The sequence below is a fragment of the Homo sapiens genome, chromosome 4, assembly GCF_000001405.40.
Source record: "Homo sapiens chromosome 4, GRCh38.p14 Primary Assembly".
NCBI classification, from domain to species: domain Eukaryota; kingdom Metazoa; phylum Chordata; class Mammalia; order Primates; family Hominidae; genus Homo; species Homo sapiens.
Window position 1 is genome coordinate 55,914,653 of NC_000004.12, and position 18,242 is coordinate 55,932,894.

The window sequence follows — 18,242 nt, forward strand, 5'->3', positions numbered from 1 at the left end:
CAGGCGGACACTCTACTTCTCTGCTAGGAATCGGAATCTTGAGCAGAGTGATGCTGGGTGGAATGAAGGTAGTTGGAGTTAAATCCTTCCTGTGGTCATACCAAAAGAGACTGCCCATAAGTTTATTCTATAAAGACCCCCAAGAGTTGTCCTGGTTTCTATCCCACCTCAAGGTCAGGTGGTTCTGTTTTCCTTTATTCTGTGAATTACCCAATGTTCTTCCATGCTAGGGTGCAGGAGTGGTAGAAAGCACTTAAGTTAGCTGAAGCCAATTTCTGTAGCTTGCAATCAAAGATCTCCAATTGATACAAGCATAAAACATGTATATAAACAAAATAAATAAACTATGTAAGACAATACAGTACATCATAGATGCCAAACAAATAACACAGATAGCAGGGGTTGCAATACTCAGAGGAGCTAGATATATCTATGGTCTGATAAAGTCAAGGAAGATTTTATAAAGGAAATGGGTTATGTATCTTTGAGTTACTGTTGCCCATCCATTGGGCAGCATCTATGAAAGATCAATAGCAGTATAGCATCGAGTTAATAGCTCAGGCTCCAAGTCAGAGAGAACTTGGGCTTAAATCCTGGCTCTGTCTGGCTATATAATTTTATTCAGGTAAGTTAACCGTTAATGTCTTTGCTCCTGTTTCTTTATTTGTAAAACGTAAGGATTAATACTCATATGATAGGTTCACTGTAAGCATTAAATCAGATAATGCTTGTAAAATGCTTAGCACAGTACTAATATGTACTCAATTTTAAAAAGAAATGAGCCGGGCACTGTGGCTCATGCCTGTAATTATAGCACTCTGGGAAGCCAAGGCAGGAGGATTACTTGAGCCCAGGAGTTTGGGACCAGCCTAGGCAACGTAGCGAGACCCCTGTCTCTACAAAAAATTTTAAAAATTAGCTGGGCATTGTGGTGCATGCCTGTAGCCCCTGCTACTTGGGAGGCTGAGGTGGGAGGATCACTTGAGTCCAGGAGGTTGAAGCTGCAGTAAGCCATGTCTGTACCACTGCACTCCAGCCTGAGCAACACAACAAGACCCTGTCTCAAAAATAAATAAGTAAATAATTTAAATTTTAAAAATGAAAATAAATGAATCAATGGTGTGTTTCTTGGCAATGATTGGGAACTCAAACTCAAATACCCAGGGTGAATGGATGAAATTGTACAATATCCTTGATCTGAGAAAAGGACGAGAAAGGAATCCATTTCTCTTGCTGCCTCCTATCCAACCCCCACCCCACCCCTACACCGTCACACACACATACATTTTCTGAGGATAGAGGGAATCTCATCAAGGTTTTTGTGAAGCTTTAATTATCCACGAAGCCTTTAATAGTGTGCCAAAGTTATTTCATTTGTCTTGTAATAACCCTGCGAGGTAAGCCTTCTTATCACTGTTACACACAGAGGATACGATGTCTTCACCCAGGCCACAGTATCACCTGAAGATTAAGAAATGGATTTTTATCAGTTTGCTGCCTTTCTTAAATCATAAGGCCTCTGTTCCTTTTATATTTGGCCAAACATGACTAAGAAGGCAACTATTTTAGCAATTTTGTTTTTGTTTTTGTTTTTGTTTTTTTTTTTTGGAGACGGAGTTTTGCTCTTATTGCCCAGGCTGGACTGCAATGGCGTGACCTTGGTTCACTGCAACCACCACCTCCCGGGTTCAAGCAATTCTCCTGTCTCAGCCTCCAGAGTAGCTGGGATTACAGTCGCCCGCCACCAAGCCCGGCTAATTTTTTGTATTTTTAGTAGAGATGGGGTTTCACCATGTTGGTCATCTGGTCTCGAACTTCTGACCTCAAGTGATCCCGCCCCGCCTCAGCCTCCCAAAGTGCTGGGATTACAGGCATGAGCCACTGCGCCCAGCCAATTTCTTTTCATAAGGAAGCCTTTCAGGATTTTTCAAACAAGATCTACTTTAGCTTTCCTAGAGAGAAAAAATTATCCTCTAAAGTTTAAGATTCTTGAGAGAGATGTAGGCCTATAAGTATAATCAATTTAAAGGTGATATTCTAGAAGTATGCATAATAAGTTGGAGGAATGGATTCTAGCTGGGAGAGTTTAGGGAGCCTTGATACTTCTTTTTCTGCTACTCCATATAATCTATTCTTCTCATAGGAGCCAAAATGGCATTTTAAAATATGAACAGATCATACAGATTTCCTTGTTTATATCCTTTTGTTCCAGTTATTATAGCTATGTAACAAATTACCCCAAACTGCAATGGGGGGAAAACAGCCATTTTGTTTTGCTTGTGTATTATGTGGCCTAGGATTCAGGCCCAGCAGAGATGGCTTTGTCTTTGCTCCATGATGTCTGAAAGCTCAGTTGATGCAACTCAGGTTGGGACTGAACTCAGCTGAACACTCCTCTTGCAGGACTGGCTGTTGGCTGGGAGCTTGAGGTCCCTCCAGATGGTTTCTCTATGAAGACTTTGTGCTTTCTTACAGCGTGGTGGCTAGGTTCCAAGGGAAGATGTTAGAGGAGAGAGAAACACACACACACTCATACACACACACACAGAAAGAGATTATGACCTACCTGCAAAAGTTACATCACCTCACTTCTGCCATATTTGATTGGTCAGAGAAGTGATATGCCCCTTGCATACCTCAAATTGAGGGAACATAGACTCTACCTCTCAATGGAGAGTGTCAGTCACTTTGTAAAAAGAGCATGTGGTTGGGATATATACTGCGGCAGCTATCTTTGGAAAATTCCATCTACCACACCTTTCAATAGTTTCCTAGAACAATGACGCCTGGGTCAGAGTAGGTGTGCAGCACATATTTGTTGAGGGATGAACTGAGTGAATAAGAAGGGATGGTGTTTATTCTGAGCCTTAAAAGGCAAGCTACTGAGTTTTTTTTTGTTTTTTTTTTTGTTGTTGTTGTTTGTTTTTATTTTGACAGGGTCTCCCTCTGTTGCCAAAGCTGAGTACAGTGGCACGATCTTGGCTTACTGCAGCTTCAACCTCCTGGGCTTAAGTGATCCTCCTGCCTTAGCCTCCTGGGTAGCTGGGACTACAGATGCACACCACCATGCCTGGCTTTTTTTTTTTTTTCTAGAGATGGGCTGGTCTCAAACTTCTGGGTTCAAGTGATCTTCCCACTTCAGCTTCCCAAAGTATTGGGATTACAGGCATGAGCCACTGTGCCCAGCTGAGATTTTTTAAAAACAACTTTGCTGAGCTATGTAATTCACATATATTACAACTTAAATGCAAAATGTAACCTTTACAATCAATGGCTTTTAGTGTATTTGCAGAGTTGTACAACCATCACCACTAATTCCAGAACATATTTTATTATCCCAGAAAGAAACCCCATACTCACTAGCATTCACCCTCCATTTCCCTCCAACCCCTAGCAACCACAAACCTACTTTCTTTATAGATTCACCTATTTTAGATATTTTGTATGAGCGACTGGACTCATACAATAGGTAGTCTTTTTCTGATTGACTTCTTTCACTTAACATTATATTTTCAAGGTTCATCCATGTTGTGGCATGTATCAAGAGCTTCACTCCCTTTTATTGCCAAATAATATTTCATTTTATGGACATATATTTTATTCATCTATTCATCAGTTGATAGAAATTTGGATTGTTTTTGCCTTTTAGCTACTGTGAATTATGCTGCTCTAAACATTTGAGTACATTTTTGTGTGGAAGCACTCTTTTATTTCTCCTGAGTATATATCTGGGAGAAGAATTGGTGGGTCATATGGTAAGTCTATGTTTAACTTTTTGTGGAACCGCCAAACTGTTTTCCAAAGTGGCTATACTATTTTACATTCCCAGCAGCCATGTGTGAGAGTTTTGATTTCTCCACATCCTTGCCAACACTTGTTATTACCTGTCTTTTGGATTATAGCCATTTTAGTAGGTGTGAAGTCATTTTTCATTATGATTTATCCATATGGATGATTTATCCATTTCTGAAGAATAATGATGATGAGCATCTTTTGATGTGCTTTTTGGCCATTTATATATCTTCTTTAGAGAAACGTGTATTTAAATCGTTTGCCCATTTTAAAATAGGATTATCTCTTTATTATCAAGTTGTCATCATTCTTCAGCATATCCTGAATTTAAGTCCCTCTTCAGATATATAATTTGCAGAAAATTTTTCCTATTCTGCAGAAAAGGTTTTCACTTTTCTTATGTTATTCTTTGTAGCATAAAATATTTTAGTTTTGATGGAGCCCAATTCATCTATTTTTTTCTTTTGTCAGCGTATGCTCTTGGTATTGTATCTAAGAAAACATTGTCTAACAAGCAAGTGTTTTTATAGTTAAGGAAAATTTGGATGTGGGGGAGAAATAACAAGGGGGAAAGAGCCATGTAAGTTAAGGCATGGGAGAATGAAAGCACCTGGCAAGACGTTTTCAGAATTCAACATATTTGGAGGCAGAAGGGTAGAAAGGAGGGAGTCTACAGTGCCCAGAGCATGAAGGATTTGTATACGGCAGAGGGGTAGAGATTTGAGAGTCGTTACCATAGGTACAGTAGCAGAAATCACAGAAGTCTATTCGGTTGCTCAGTGTATTATACTAAGAAGAGAAGAGCTCTGAAGCTGGAACTCTGGGGAGTGCCAAAATTTAGAGAGGATAAGGAGCTCACAATGGAGGTTGGCCAAGAGTGACCAAAGATATAAGAGGTAGTTGGGAGAGATTGTGTTACAGGGACCAAGAGAAGAACACGTTCCAGAAAGAAAAGTGTGATCCACAGTGTCCAATAGTGGTTAAATAAGACAAGGATGGAAAGAGTCCACTAAAATTGGCATTTGGTTGGTCATTGCTGACCTTGGTCAAGGCATATCAGTGCTTCAGTAGCAGAGAGAAAGCCTGATTGTGGTAGAATTAAGTGCAAAGGTGCATAGGAAGCTTTAGGTATTAAGGAACCACTCTTCCCTGAAGCTCGATCATGAAGAAAAGAACAGTATTCACAGCACTTTGGGAGGCCAAGGCGGGCGGCTCATGAGGTCAGGAGACAGAGACCATCCTGGCCAACATGGTGAACCCTGTCGCTACTAAAAATACAAAAATTAGCTGGGCGTAGTGGCATGTGCCTGTAATCCCAGCTACTCAGGAAGCTGAGGCAGGAGAATCGCTTGAACCAGGGAGTCAGAGGTTGCAGTGAGCTGAGATCACATCACTGCTCTCCAGCCTGGTGACATAGTGAGACTCCATCTCAAAAAGAAAAAAAAAACAAAGAAGGAAAAGAACAGTAGTAACCCAGATTGATACCCAGGGTCAAAGCCAGGATTTTATTTAAATGACCTCAAGCACTTGTATCTGTCAGAGTTCAGTGAAGAAAATCAAAAGCATTCTAGGTATTTGAAGAATTTAGGCCAGGCAAGGTGGCTCACACCTGTAATCCCAGCACTTTGGGAGGCCGAGGCAGGCAGATTGCTTAAGCACAGGAGTTTGAGACCAGCCTAGGCAACATGGCAAAACTCCATCTCTAATAAAAATACAAAAAAAAAAAAAAAATTACTGGTGTAGTGGTGCCCGTCTGTAATACCAGCTACTCAGGAGGCTGAAATGGGAGGATTGCTTGAGCCCAGGAGGTCAGGGTTGCAGTGAGCTGTGATCATGCTGCTCCACTCCAACCTGGCTGACAGAGAAAGACCCTGTCTCAATAATAATAATAATAAAAATAAAAATTCATGAAATATCAGTGGAAGTGCTGGAGGGCCAGAAGTCAAAGGGCCATCACTGAACTTTTGGCTTCAAGATGCCATCACTACTGCTACAATCCATGGCTTCCACCACTGCTACCACTGTAGCTGCCACACCATAGTCTCCCTGCTCCACCTCTGAGATAGCAAAGGGGAAAAGGACGACAGCTGGTTTAGATTTTTTGAGCTGGTTTAGATGACCGTGGATGTGGAAGCAGGAAGTGAAGACGTGCTCCTTCCCATATGTAGCAACCCAAACATATACTGGTTAGAAACAGAGCCCTGTTTCCAAATGGATAGTCGTATGTGATTATCCCAGAGCACCGTGTACCAAGCACTGCAGTCAGAATGTACTCTCTGGTTTAATTTTCACAACAAGAGCACTAGGGGAAGTCAGCTGCCCATGTAAGCAGTTTTCCAAGTCACATGGCTAAGAAGTGATGCAGCCACAATTCCAACCCTGGCTTGTCTGACTTCAGCTGTGCTTCCCTGGCACGGTCACCAAGCAAAGACATTTGCTACCTGCCCACTTGGGACAAAGCAGAGAAGAAGGGCTTTTATTTTCAACCGACCTTCCAAGAAATTGGTTTAGAATACTCCAAAATGACCTTGGAAAGAGCCCTGCTCACCAGTCCTGGAAACTAGACATAAACTGGGTCCTGTTTCTTATGTCTATGCCAACAATTGATTCACTGGATTGGCATTTCTCATCCCCAATTTAATCGGCCTGTCAAAGTTATGTCTTCTTTAATTTAAAAAAGAATCATATTACTACTTTTTAAGACATTGACAAATCCAATTGATCAATCACCACTGCATTCCATGTTACTCTATCACATTAGAGAGCAGAGGCTGTATTGGCTATGCTTTATGACACATCAAAAATAAAATAAGACATGAAAGCTTTGAACATTACTGCTATGGTATCAGTCACATGAAAACAGGAAAGCCGTGATAAAATGCCTTGTCATCATCTAATATCTTCACTCTATTACTCAGTGTAAGGTCACTTATATATGAAGCACTTTTATAGGAAGCAATTAAAAGAAACCTGTAAATAAAACCTCATAGGCCGGGCACAGTGGCTCACACCTATAATCCCAGCACTTTAGGAGGCCGAGGTGGGAGGATTGCTTGAGCCCAGTAGTTCAAGACCAGCCTGGGCAGCACAATAAGACCTCATTTCTACCAAAAAAAAAATTGTTTAATTAGCCGGGCTTGGCAGCAGGTGCCTGTGGTCCCAGCTACTCAAGAAGCTGAGGTGGGAGAAACACTTGAGCTGGAGAAGTCAAGGCTGCAGTGAGCTGCGATTGTGCCACTGCACTCCAGCCTGGGTGACAGAGCAAGACCCTATCCCCAAAAATAAATAAATAAAAATAAAAATAAATGCTGACAATTTAATATCTGTTCTATTTAAACTATTATAATCAGATATAATCCTATCAAGAAAGCTAAAAAAAACTAGGCATCCCAGCAAGTTTATATAACAGTATATTTTTTAAAAGATACTTAATTTACTCTGTATTACTTGATAATTGTGTCCATTAACTATTCAACAATTTATTCATTTATCAAACATTTATTGATGGCTTATGGAACTACCTCTGTAGGTTACTTACTTCAAAAACTCATAGTGTAATGGAGGAGACGGATGAGTGAAAAAATTCAACCAAAATATTTAGTCTTCATCTTTAAGGAAAAGAGTAAAATGGGGGCCAGAACAGGGAAAATGTTCAAAGTTAAGTGAGGGGCCGAGCATGGTGGCTCACACCTGTAATCCTAGCACTTTGGGAGGCCGAGGCAGGCTGATCACTTCAGGTCAGGAGTTCAAGACCAGCCTGGTCAACATGGTGAAACCCCATCTCTACTAATAATACAAAAATTAGTGGGGCATGGTGGTGCATGCCTGTAATCCCAGCTACTCGGGAGGCTGAGGCATGAGAATCGCTTGAGCCTAGGAGGCAGAGGTTGCAGTGAGCCGAGATCCCACCACTGCACTTCAGCCTGGGCAACAGAGCGAGACTCTGTCTCAAAAAAAAACAAAAAAACCCCACAAAGTTAAGCAAGGGCTTTTACTTTGTAATCATGACAGTTGTATATTGTTTGAATTTCTCTCCAAGCATATATGAGTTGATAATTTTGAAATATGGTAAAATGTAAATGTTAATGAGGTTTATATCTTAGAAATTATTAATATGATTTTTCTCTTCTGCTTTTGCTGGAACATATTTTTCTTAGTGGGCCCAAAATACTAACCAGCCTCAGAAGGAGATTAAGTAATTTGTTATACAATAGCAACATTTGTCACTTACTGTGTCCCAGTCACTCTTCTAAGTAATTTACATGTAATGCAAAGAGACAGAATTAATACTCAATTTCTGACCTTTAAAATAAAATTGTGCAACCAAACAATAGCCTTAAAAACCAGGCTATTATAATTTTTTTTCTTTTTTCTTTTTTTTAGACAGGGTCTCACTCTGTCACCCAGGCTGGAGTGAAGTGACAGAATAGTGGCTCACTGAAGCCTCAACCTCCTGGGCTCAATGGATCCTCAGTCTCCTGAGTAGTGGGAACTACAGGCATGTGCCACCATGCCCAGCTAATTTTTTTGAGGAGGGGTAGATATGAGGTCTCACTAAGTTGCCCAGGTTTGTCTTGAACTTCTGGGCTCAAGTGATCCCTCCACCTTGACCTCCCAAAGTGCTGGAATTACAGGCGTGAGCCACCGCACCTGGCCTCAAGCTATTGTATTAGAAGAGGACTTTTCAAATTATTTTATTAACCTTCATCCCCTATCTATTAGAAACCAAGTGTATTAATCAAGTTTCTCCAGAGGAATGGAACCAATAGGATACACACACACACACACACACACACACACACACACACACACACACCTCACATATGTATACTTACATTAATATATTTCTCACATATATTCTACATACTATAGATATATATGAGAATTGGCTCATGTAATTATGGAGGCCCAGAAGTCCCACCATCTGCCATATGCAAGCTAGAGAACCAGGAAAGCTGGTGGTGTGATTCAGTCTGAGTCTGAAGGCCCCAGAACTGGGCACTTCAGTGTGAAGGGCAGAAGAAGATGAATGTCCCAGCTCAAGGAGAGAGAGGATTTGCCCTTCCTCCACCTTTTCACTCTATTCAGGCCCTCAACGGATTGGGTGATGCCACCCACATTAGTGAGGGTGGATCTTGTCTACTTATTCAAATGTTACTCTCTTCCAGAAACACCCTCACAGACACACACCCGGAAATAATGTTTCACCAGCTATCCAGGCATCCTCAACCCAGTCAAGTCAACACATAAAATTAACCATCACACTGAGCCTGGAGACTTAACTCAGAGCATTCTCTCATACTGCAGAGAAGACACCCTCCTGTTATAAGGAGAGGAGCAGGGCCATGGGTTTAACTCCTCTAAGTAGAAGGGCGATGGGTTACAGAGGAAGAGGAGGAGGGAAGTCATTCCTCTTCTGTCCCAGAATTGGGGGAAGGAAAAGGAGAGACAGACAGAGCCAGGGACAGAGACGAAGAAGCAACGCAGTCAGATGTGTGTCCTGACTGTGCATGAGGTGACTGGGGGAAACACCAAGGACAAAAGGGCATCGTTCTCCCCAACTCCCCATCTGAGACTCTGAGAAGAGACTTTACCGCAGGCTACCTCATCTCAACCCTAGTGGGGCCAGCATGGCCAGGTAGAGGGAGGTTATGAGGTTTAACTTGAGAGTCTTCTAAAGTTTCCACAGGGGGCCCTATGACCCAGAAGTCTATGAGAATCTGGCGGGGATCCATAGTGCAGGTGAGGCAGGTGAAGGACTACCAGGTAGGCCAGGACTAAACTGGAGTCACAGCCAGAAGTCAGAGGTGTCCTGCAGGGAGGACCCAGGGGAAACCGAGGGAGTCAGAGAGAGCTGATAAGGAATCGCTCCAGCCCCAGACATCAGCTGCATTGCCAGCCATGCTGAGAGCTACCAGGGGCATAAAAGTCAACAAGGTGGAGGACACTGTTCCCAAGACCTCAGGGTCAGGCAACCCCATTCCTCCGCGGATACAAAACACCTAGTCAACATCTTGGGGCTGAAAGGGTGAGAAATCTGACAGCTGAGCTTTTCTTTTCCTACACAGACTAACCTCTCTTAAGGGATTGCTAAGTGAGTAGATCAGATTAAGTTTAAACCAGGAAGGATTTAAAAGTTAATTGTTTTTACTCCTCACCCACAGGTGGGATTCAAGGAAGAAGGCTGGACTCGTTAACAAAGGGACTATATAATGTCTCCATACTTCTGAGATGCGATGTGAGTTAAATTCACAATCCTGCTAAATAAATTTAAAAATCAATGACAATACAGACGACTATTAAATGCTATGAAAAGAAGCATAGGGTACTATGGGACTTCTAGGCAGCAAAAGTAATTGCTGTATGGCATCAGACCCATGGAGCACCCAGCCTGGGATCTGGTCTTCCCAGTGAAACCTCTGCACATTTGCTGAGGATTGGAGCAAGGGAGCATGGTTGATCCCATTTTGTCAAGTGGAAAATTAAAAGCATTCCCATTCTCTCTTTAGCATCCATTGATTTATCCAACTCTTCTTGAATATTTTAATACATCTGTACTAACTCTTGGAGGCTTCAGGTATCTGTAGAGAATATTTCTGAAAGTTCTGTTTGTTAGCATCCAATTTTGGAGTGTTAGAGAGGTGAAACAGGCCCTGTCTGTGTATCAGAATATTCCTCTTCCAATGCATTTTTCCCTTAAGAAGAAAAATAAATATACTCTATTTATGTGCAAGGTTTAGATAGTATGTTACCGGAAAGGGGTCCCAATCCAGACCCAAGAGAGGGTTCTTGGATCTCGTGCAAGAAAGAATTTGAGGCAAATCCATAGAGTAAAGCAAAAGCAAGTTTATTAAGAAAGTAAAGGAATAAAGAATGGCTACTCCATAGCAGAGCAGCGCCATGGGCTGTTCAGCTGCTTGTACTTATTGTTAGTTCCTTCTTGATTATATGGTAAACAAGGGGTGGATTATTCATTAGTTTTCCAGGAAAGGGGTGAGTAATTCCTGGAACCAAGGGTTCCTCCCCTTTTTAGACCATATGGGATGACTTCCTAACATTGCCATGGCATTTGTAAACTGTCATGGTGCTGGTGAGAATGTCTTTTAGCATGCTAATGCATTCTAATTAGCGTATGATGAGCAGTAAAGGTGATCAGAGGTCATTCTCCTTGCGATCTTGGTTTTGGTGGGATTCAGCCGGCTTCTTTACTGCTAACTGCTGTTATCAGCAGGGTCTTTGTGACCTGTATCTTGTGCCAACCTCCAATCTCACCATGTGACTTAGAATACCCAGCCTCCTGTGAAGGCAGCCCAGTAGGTCTCAGCCTTATTTTACTCAATCCCTGTTCAAGATGGGGTTGCTCTGCTTCGAACGCCTCTCACAAGTATTGTTTCACTCAGAATGGCTCAAAACATGAATTTTATATCCTCAGCCGGGCGCGGTGGCTCACGCCTGTAATCCCAGCCCTTTGGGAGGCTGAGGCAGGCGGATCACGAGGTCAGGAGATCAAGACCATCCTGGCTAACAAGGTGAAACCCCATCTCTGCTAAAAATACAAAAATTAGCTGGGCATGGTGGCAGGCACCTGTAGTCCCAGCTACTCGGGAGGCTGAGGCAGGACAATGGCGTGAACCCGGGAGGCAGAGCTTGCAGTGAGCCGAGATTGCGCCACTGCACTACAGCTGGGCAACAGAGCAAGACTCCATCTCAAAAAAAAAAAATTTTATATCCTCACATCCAATTCTTCCCCTTGCTCCTGGATAATAACTCAGGCAAAATCCATGACTTTTCTGGTTTCTCTGTTGTAAAACAAGCCCTTAATCAGAAATTAAAATATCTAGTTCCATTTTATAACCAAATCTTTAAACACAGCTTATGATCAATATTCTCATCCTTCTCCAGCTTGGGCCTGCTGCCAGCAGAGAAGAAAAGGGAGGTGGTCACGGTCACGTTCTTTACTCTAATCATGCCCACTTCCATTCTTCCCCTCCCTGAATTGCTGATGGAGAGCAGGAGAGCTCTCACTTGACCAGTACTGCTATGACCCAGCCTCTGCCCTCTGGCCCTACCAGGTGTTTAAACCTGTCTTTTTTGCTGTGGGTTCTTTGGGGATCCTCCTCCCTTGAGAGAGAGAGAGACAAGAAACAAGTGGGCAAGCCAGCCTGGACCTAGGAAATAGACCTGTATCAAGCCCAAGTCAACAAGTGAGTATTTTCATGTTTCTGCACAGTTAGGACTTTCTGAGCAAGTTTTTCTGGAGTCCAGATTAAAGAACAAGCTTTAGAAGTTAAATTATGACTATGACTGAATAGGTAATGAGACAACTGTAGAGAGATTTGTCTCCCCAGAGGTCTGTGTTTACACTTCAGAGGAGCAGGGTGGGAGGGGGTAAAACCTGCAACCAAGAAAACATCCCAAGAGCTGTAAATGAGGAGAAGCTTCTCTTATCTTCCCCCAGACACTTATTTGCATTCCAAAAGGTAAGAAGCCCAGACCTTTCCCTTTGCTTCCCCAGCAAAATTGGTGTACACTAGAAAGCAGAGGTTTCTCTGCCTTTCTCAGAAGGGGAAAAGAGAAAGCTGACCCTCTCGTATATAAGCTCTCAGATTCATAATTTTGAGGGGGGCTTTCTCTCCTGCAGTACAGAACCTAGTACATATAAGAGGACATCTGGCTTTCATCATATCACTCTAGGGGGTTGGGGCAAGGGAACTGATAGTTATTGACATGAATTATAATAACTTTGTTCTCTGCTCCAGAAACTTTATATTTGCATTCAGAATAACATAAATAAATACAGGTATTAAAAACCTATCAGCCATTGAAAGAAGACTGTGCATGGTTCTGTCAGAGGTGTGTGAACCAGAGCAACTCCATCTTAAATAGGAACTGGGTAAAATGAGGCTGAAACCTACTGGGCTGCATTCCCAGATGGTTAAGGCATCTATGTCACAGGATGAGATAGGAGGTCAGCGAAGATACAGGTCATAAAGACCTTGCTGATAAAACAGGTTGCAGTAAAGAAGCCAGCCAAAACCCACCAAAACCAAGATGACCACGAGAGTGACCTCTGGTCGTCCTCACTGCTGCACTCCCACCAGTGTCATGACAGTTTACAAATGCCACAGCAACATCAAGAAGTTACCCTGTATTATTTAAAAAGGGGAGGCATGAATAATCCACCTTTTGTTTAGCATATAATCAAGAAATAACCAGAAAAATGGGCAACCAGCAGCCCTTGGGCCTGCTCTGCCTATGGAGTAGCCATTCTTTTATTCCTTTACTTTCTTAATAAACTCGGCCTCACTTTAATCTATGGACTCACCCTAAATTCTTTCTTGCATGAGATCCAAGAACCCTTTCTTGGGGTTTGGATCGGGACCCCTTTCCAGTAATAGTTCTTCACTGGAGCATATGTGATTCATATGCTAAAAAGGCTAATGTAATGCTGAAACTGCCCTTACAAAGATTATGACAGCAAGAGAAATTTAGCATGGCTGACTCTATCTTGCTTGTAGACTCATGGGCTGGCTGTACTCACTCACTCCTGGGCATAGGCCAGGCTAACCATGTGATGAATTTAGTTTACAGTTTAACTATGAAGCAAGGATGATAATAGTCCTTCTCTAAAACGGATTCCCTCCTTGTTGGGGGGCTGAAACTGCCTTTATAAGACTAATGAAAGGCCACAAGATTAGGATTTTGGGAAGGGCCTACATTCTCCTAAAATATAGACATAGTTTCTATAATCCCTTACTGTTCAGGAGTCATGTAGCCAGAGGTCAGAAGATTTGTCACTTCCCCATTTGCTCCTGTAGATAACATCACTATTATAGAACCTAAGATTGGTCTTTTGAGATGTTTCTCAGACTTTAGCATTCTGGAAACCAATTGACCCCACCCAGACCCATGAATTATTACTCAGCTGGTCTTGTGGCCCCCACTCAGAGGCAGAATCAGCACATGAGGACTGTTTCCACACCCTTATGACTTTATCCCCAACCCATCAGCAGCACCAATTCCCTAGGCCCCTGCCCCTGAAATTTTCCATAAAAATCCTAGCCTCTGAGTTCTCTGGAAGACTGATTTGAGTGATAACTCTAGTCCTTCACTCAGCTGCCTTGCATTACGTAAACTCTTTCTTTACTGCAATACCCTGGTCTCAGTGAATTGGTTTTGCCTGTGCAGTGGAAGAAGCAAGGATGAACCCATTGGGTGATTACAGTAATAGACTGTTTGATATACATTGAGTGTGCTGTGCAGGTATAGTAAGAGAAATAAGCATATCTCAATACTCAGCCATAATCTAACACAATCATTTCTGGGAATACATTTTAATAAAAAAACCGAGAAACTAGACTGTTTCTACTCCAGAGGGGTTAGCCAGATAAGGGATGGGCTTGGAGACCATGTCAAGTGAGCAAAAATGGAAGGATCTGGGTTATTTGTTCTGAAGAGTTATCACATGCATGAGACAAAAAATTCATTTTCTTTTGATTGCTTGGAACAAATTGCTCATACTTATGGAGAAACAGATTTTAGCTTCATATAAAGAAGACTTTTTCCAGCAAAGACGTTCAGCAATGCAATGAGCTGCTTTAACAAGTAGAGCACTCTCTTTTGTCATTGGACTTGTTTAGGTGGCAGCTGGGATGGCCATCTGTTGGAGAGGTTGCAGAGGAAGTCTGTGTTCTATGTTGGAGGTTGGTCTAATTGAACTTTTAGGACTCTGATAACTCTATGTCTCCACAAAGTTTAATTGATCTTTGTCTGAATATTTCCATATTTGGTCATTGTCCTTCGGAGCTCCCTTTCTTGGCAGCCTGCTATATTCCCAGAATTGTGTTAACTTCCTGAGTTCAAGTCAAGGCTCTATGATTTACTTCGTGATTTCTGGTAAATTACTTAATCCCACCTGTAACATTGTGAAACCAATACTTCCTACTTTTAGGCCTCTTATGGAGATTAAATGAAATGGTACTTGTAAAACATGAATTGTGTAAAGCAGCACTCACTAGAACCCAGTAATACACAATGGCTATGATTAGTTTATTAGTCTCTTAGCTTCTTGTCTGTCTCCATCCTTCTTTCACTTGGCTACCTACTCACCCTTCACATCTCACTTAGTTTTCATTTATATGCCTCTTATTTCCAGTGAGTTTGAGTCTCTTCTTATGGTAAAGAGCCATTTGGCAAATTATATTTTCATACTTGTGCCTACTGTTAAATTATTTTTCTAATTTATTCTACTATTTGTTAGTCATTTTACTGTCAATTTATAGGATCTCTTTCTATATTAGGTTTACGATATTAGTTGCAAATATTTTCCTGGCTTATTCTTTGTCTTTTGATCATAGACCTTTTGACGTGAAGCAGGCTTGTTGTTCTAATATTTTTATTGATTTTATTTTTTTACATAGGGTCGCTCTCTATTGCCCAGGCTGAAGTGCAGTGGCACAATCCTGGCTCACTGTAGCCTCAACCTCCCCAGGCTCAGGTGATCCTCCCACCTCAGCCTCCCAAGCAGCTGCACACAGCTTTTAGGTTGGTGCAAAAGTAACTGCGGTTTTTGCCATTAAAATAGCAAAACCGCAATTACTTTTGCACTAGCCTAATAATTTTTTTATTTTATGTAGGGATGGAATCTCTCTATGTTGCCCAGGCTTGTCTCGATCTCCTGGGCTCAAGCAATCTACCTGTCTTGGCTTCCCAAAATGCCTAAGCCACTGTGCCCAGCCTGTTGTTTTTAATATAGTAGTGTTCATCAAGTCTTTGATTCATACAAAGGTCGTGAACCTCTACCTCTATTTCTTACTGACACCAAAAAGTGATTAAAAGGTATAATTCCTTGCGCTATCATTATGAAATGAAAATGTCTGCTGTTGTTGTAGACACACAAACTGCTACATCATCAAGATGCTTCAGCGCTGTGCTTTTAAAAGGGACCCTTTCTTGATATAATTTTCCAGTGTCTCTGCTACTAAAGAATAGCTTCTCATAACATCTGATCATTTACACAGCTTGAGTGTCTTTTGTAGCCAAGGTACTACAGAGGCTCCACTACAAGGCTCCAGACAGGCTGGAACTATTGTAACCATTTTCTTTACCTGCCAAGTAATCAGGTTGCCAGTCAAACCGTACACCTATGGAATAGGGAAATTGAGTCCCTGCTGCTTAAATAAAAGGCCCTGAATTAGCTGGCAGTAACACTGACATTTTAGATTCATCTCTGGCCTAGTCACTACAGGGAAGCAACTGTGTTATACTGGAGAGAATACTGGACTTTGTGTCAGAAGGCTTGATTCATTTACTTCAGTGCAGTGCGATTCAATTCAATTCACATTTCCTGATCTTCTATTAAGGCCAGATAGTCTGCTTCGGTTATGGGTACAAAGAAGCTGTTTTGTCCCTTAAAGAGCTCACAGTCTAATGGGAGAAACAGGATCATCAGTGACTACAGTAAACAACATCCAAATACACAGACTGTCTTAAAAATACAGAGAAGAAACCTAAGAAAAAGGAACTTGATTTCTCTCTGTTAATTTCTGTTACATATTATGTGCACACACCCAACTATATCCCAGACATTGCTGTTATATCACCTTCAGCACCTTATATCACAAACCAAACTTACTATTGGTCCCCTGTCCCTTTCCAGCCCCTCTGCCACACCAACAAGATAGCTTCCTGATTATGCCATCTCAGGGTCTTCAGTCTCTGAAACTCTAAACCTTGATGTTTATCTGGATTCCTTCCCCTCCACTCACAGAGGCCCTTCCCTCACTAAGCCCTGCCCATTCTTCCTTTGTAATATTTTGCACGTTTCCTTCAGACCTTTATCATGTCATTAAAAAAATCTTCTGACTCTTGTCCTAGATAACATTGTTTTCTGCACCAGTCACTATTCACCATTCCATGCTTCTACTACCCAGATATATTTCCCGCAAACTAATTTCTTCATGTCATTTTCCAGCTTTAAAAGGTCAATAATTCTCCATTACATATTGGATAAAATTCAAGCTCTGAAATCTAATATTTGGTGGGTCCTTTAGTCATCTGACTTCACTTTTTATTTTCAGTCTTGTCATTATCTATGCCATTCTGCTTGTCCCTGGCCCCATCAGATGGCTGTATTTATTATTGAGAAAAACATTCTTCCCTATCATTTTTTCCCATCCTGTTATCTCCTCTCCTCCCTTTCTTCCATCCCCACATCTCTTGCTTCCTCTTCTTTATGCATCCAAGTTCTAGTCATTTCAAGGTCCAACTCCAAGTCTTATCTACTCCATAAAACTGAGAAGTAGCTCAGTTTTATGCTGAGGTCTTCATATCAGACCTTCCTCTGAAGGTCTTCAGAGCGTCTTTTTCTTTTCTGAATTCCTAAAATATTTATTCTGTGGCCTTAACGGGTATTTAAGCATATATGTATCAGATTGCCAGGGCGGCTTAACCAACAGAAATGTATTGTGAAACAATACATTTCTGGAGGCTTGCTTTCTGAGATCAATGTGTTATCAGGGTTGATTCTTTCTGAGGGCTGTGAGGGAGAATCTGTTCCATGCCTTTCTCCTGGCTTCTGGTGGTTTGCTGGCAATTTTGGCATTCCTAGTAGATGACATTCTCCCTGTGTTTGCATGATCTTCCCTCTATCTCTTTACATGGTGGTGTTCTTTTTATAAGGATACCGGTCATATTGGATTAGGGGCCCACTCTACTCCAGTATGACCTCATCTTAACAAATTAAAGCTGCAATGACCTTATTTCCAAATGAGGTGATATTCTGAGGTATTTAGAGATAAACTTTAAAGTCCCAGGGTGGGGTGCAGTGGCTTGATCACAGCTCACTGAAGCCTCAACCTCCTGGGCTCAAGCTCTCCTCCTGCCCAAGCCTCCTGAGTAGCTGGGACTACAGGCATGTGCCACCACACCTGGCTAATTCTTTTTTATTTTGTAGAGATAGGTTCCTATTTTATTGCCCAGGCTGGTCTCGAACTCTTGGGCTTAAGCAGTCCTCCCACCTCAGCCTCCCAAACTGCTGGGATTTCAGGCATGAACCACTGTGCCCAGCCCATTTGTGATCATTGTTAACAGCAGCTTGAGGAAACTAATACAAGGAGGAAAAGTAGGGAAGGGACCAGATACACTGATGGAATCAGCATAAGTCAGGTTGGAATCAGCTGGGCCATGCACTGATGGAATCAGCTCTGGCCCAGGAAATTCCTGCCTTTCACACCCCACACCCTGAGCAAGCAAATGCCAAGGAGCTGCTGGAAGACAGGTTAGTCTGGGGAGACAAGTTAGCCTACGCATTTCTATCACAGTGTCTAGGAGCGTCATCATCTATCTTTCTTATTGTTCCCTAGAGAAGACCACATTGATAGCAGCCAGAAAAGAGCTTGTTGATGTCCGGCATGAATAATGCCTGTCTGTGCCCAGAGAGTTTGCTCAGC

The 18,242-nt window shown here is 42.0% G+C and overlaps 1 long non-coding RNA gene across 8 annotated transcripts in view, besides 1 other annotated feature; it reads right to left on the minus strand.

Moving 5' to 3' along the window:
• Positions 1-18,242, minus strand: part of EXOC1-AS1 (EXOC1 antisense RNA 1) — a 58,421-nt gene that overhangs the window by 25,061 nt on the left and 15,118 nt on the right. The window contains exons 4-5 of one of the 8 annotated variants that reach the window (XR_941070.3): positions 2,238-2,483; positions 1,313-1,461 (exon numbers count right to left, since the gene is read on the minus strand). The exons of 6 other annotated variants lie outside the window; for them this stretch is intronic. This is a non-coding gene — a long non-coding RNA (EXOC1 antisense RNA 1). Of the gene's footprint in view, positions 1-1,312; positions 1,462-2,237; positions 2,484-18,242 lie in introns of those variants that run through there. One more of the 8 variants, XR_941067.3, reaches the window with a different exon arrangement.
• Positions 6,046-7,245: an enhancer, noted in NCBI's record as "P300/CBP strongly-dependent group 1 enhancer chr4:56786864-56788063 (GRCh37/hg19 assembly coordinates)". NCBI's record gives its function as "activates an origin of replication core promoter dependent on BRD2, BRD4, P300/CBP, MED14 and CDK7 cofactors, with strong dependence on P300/CBP, by STARR-seq in HCT116 cells {active_cell/tissue: HCT116}" and the evidence as "EXISTENCE:reporter gene assay evidence [ECO:0000049][PMID:35650434]".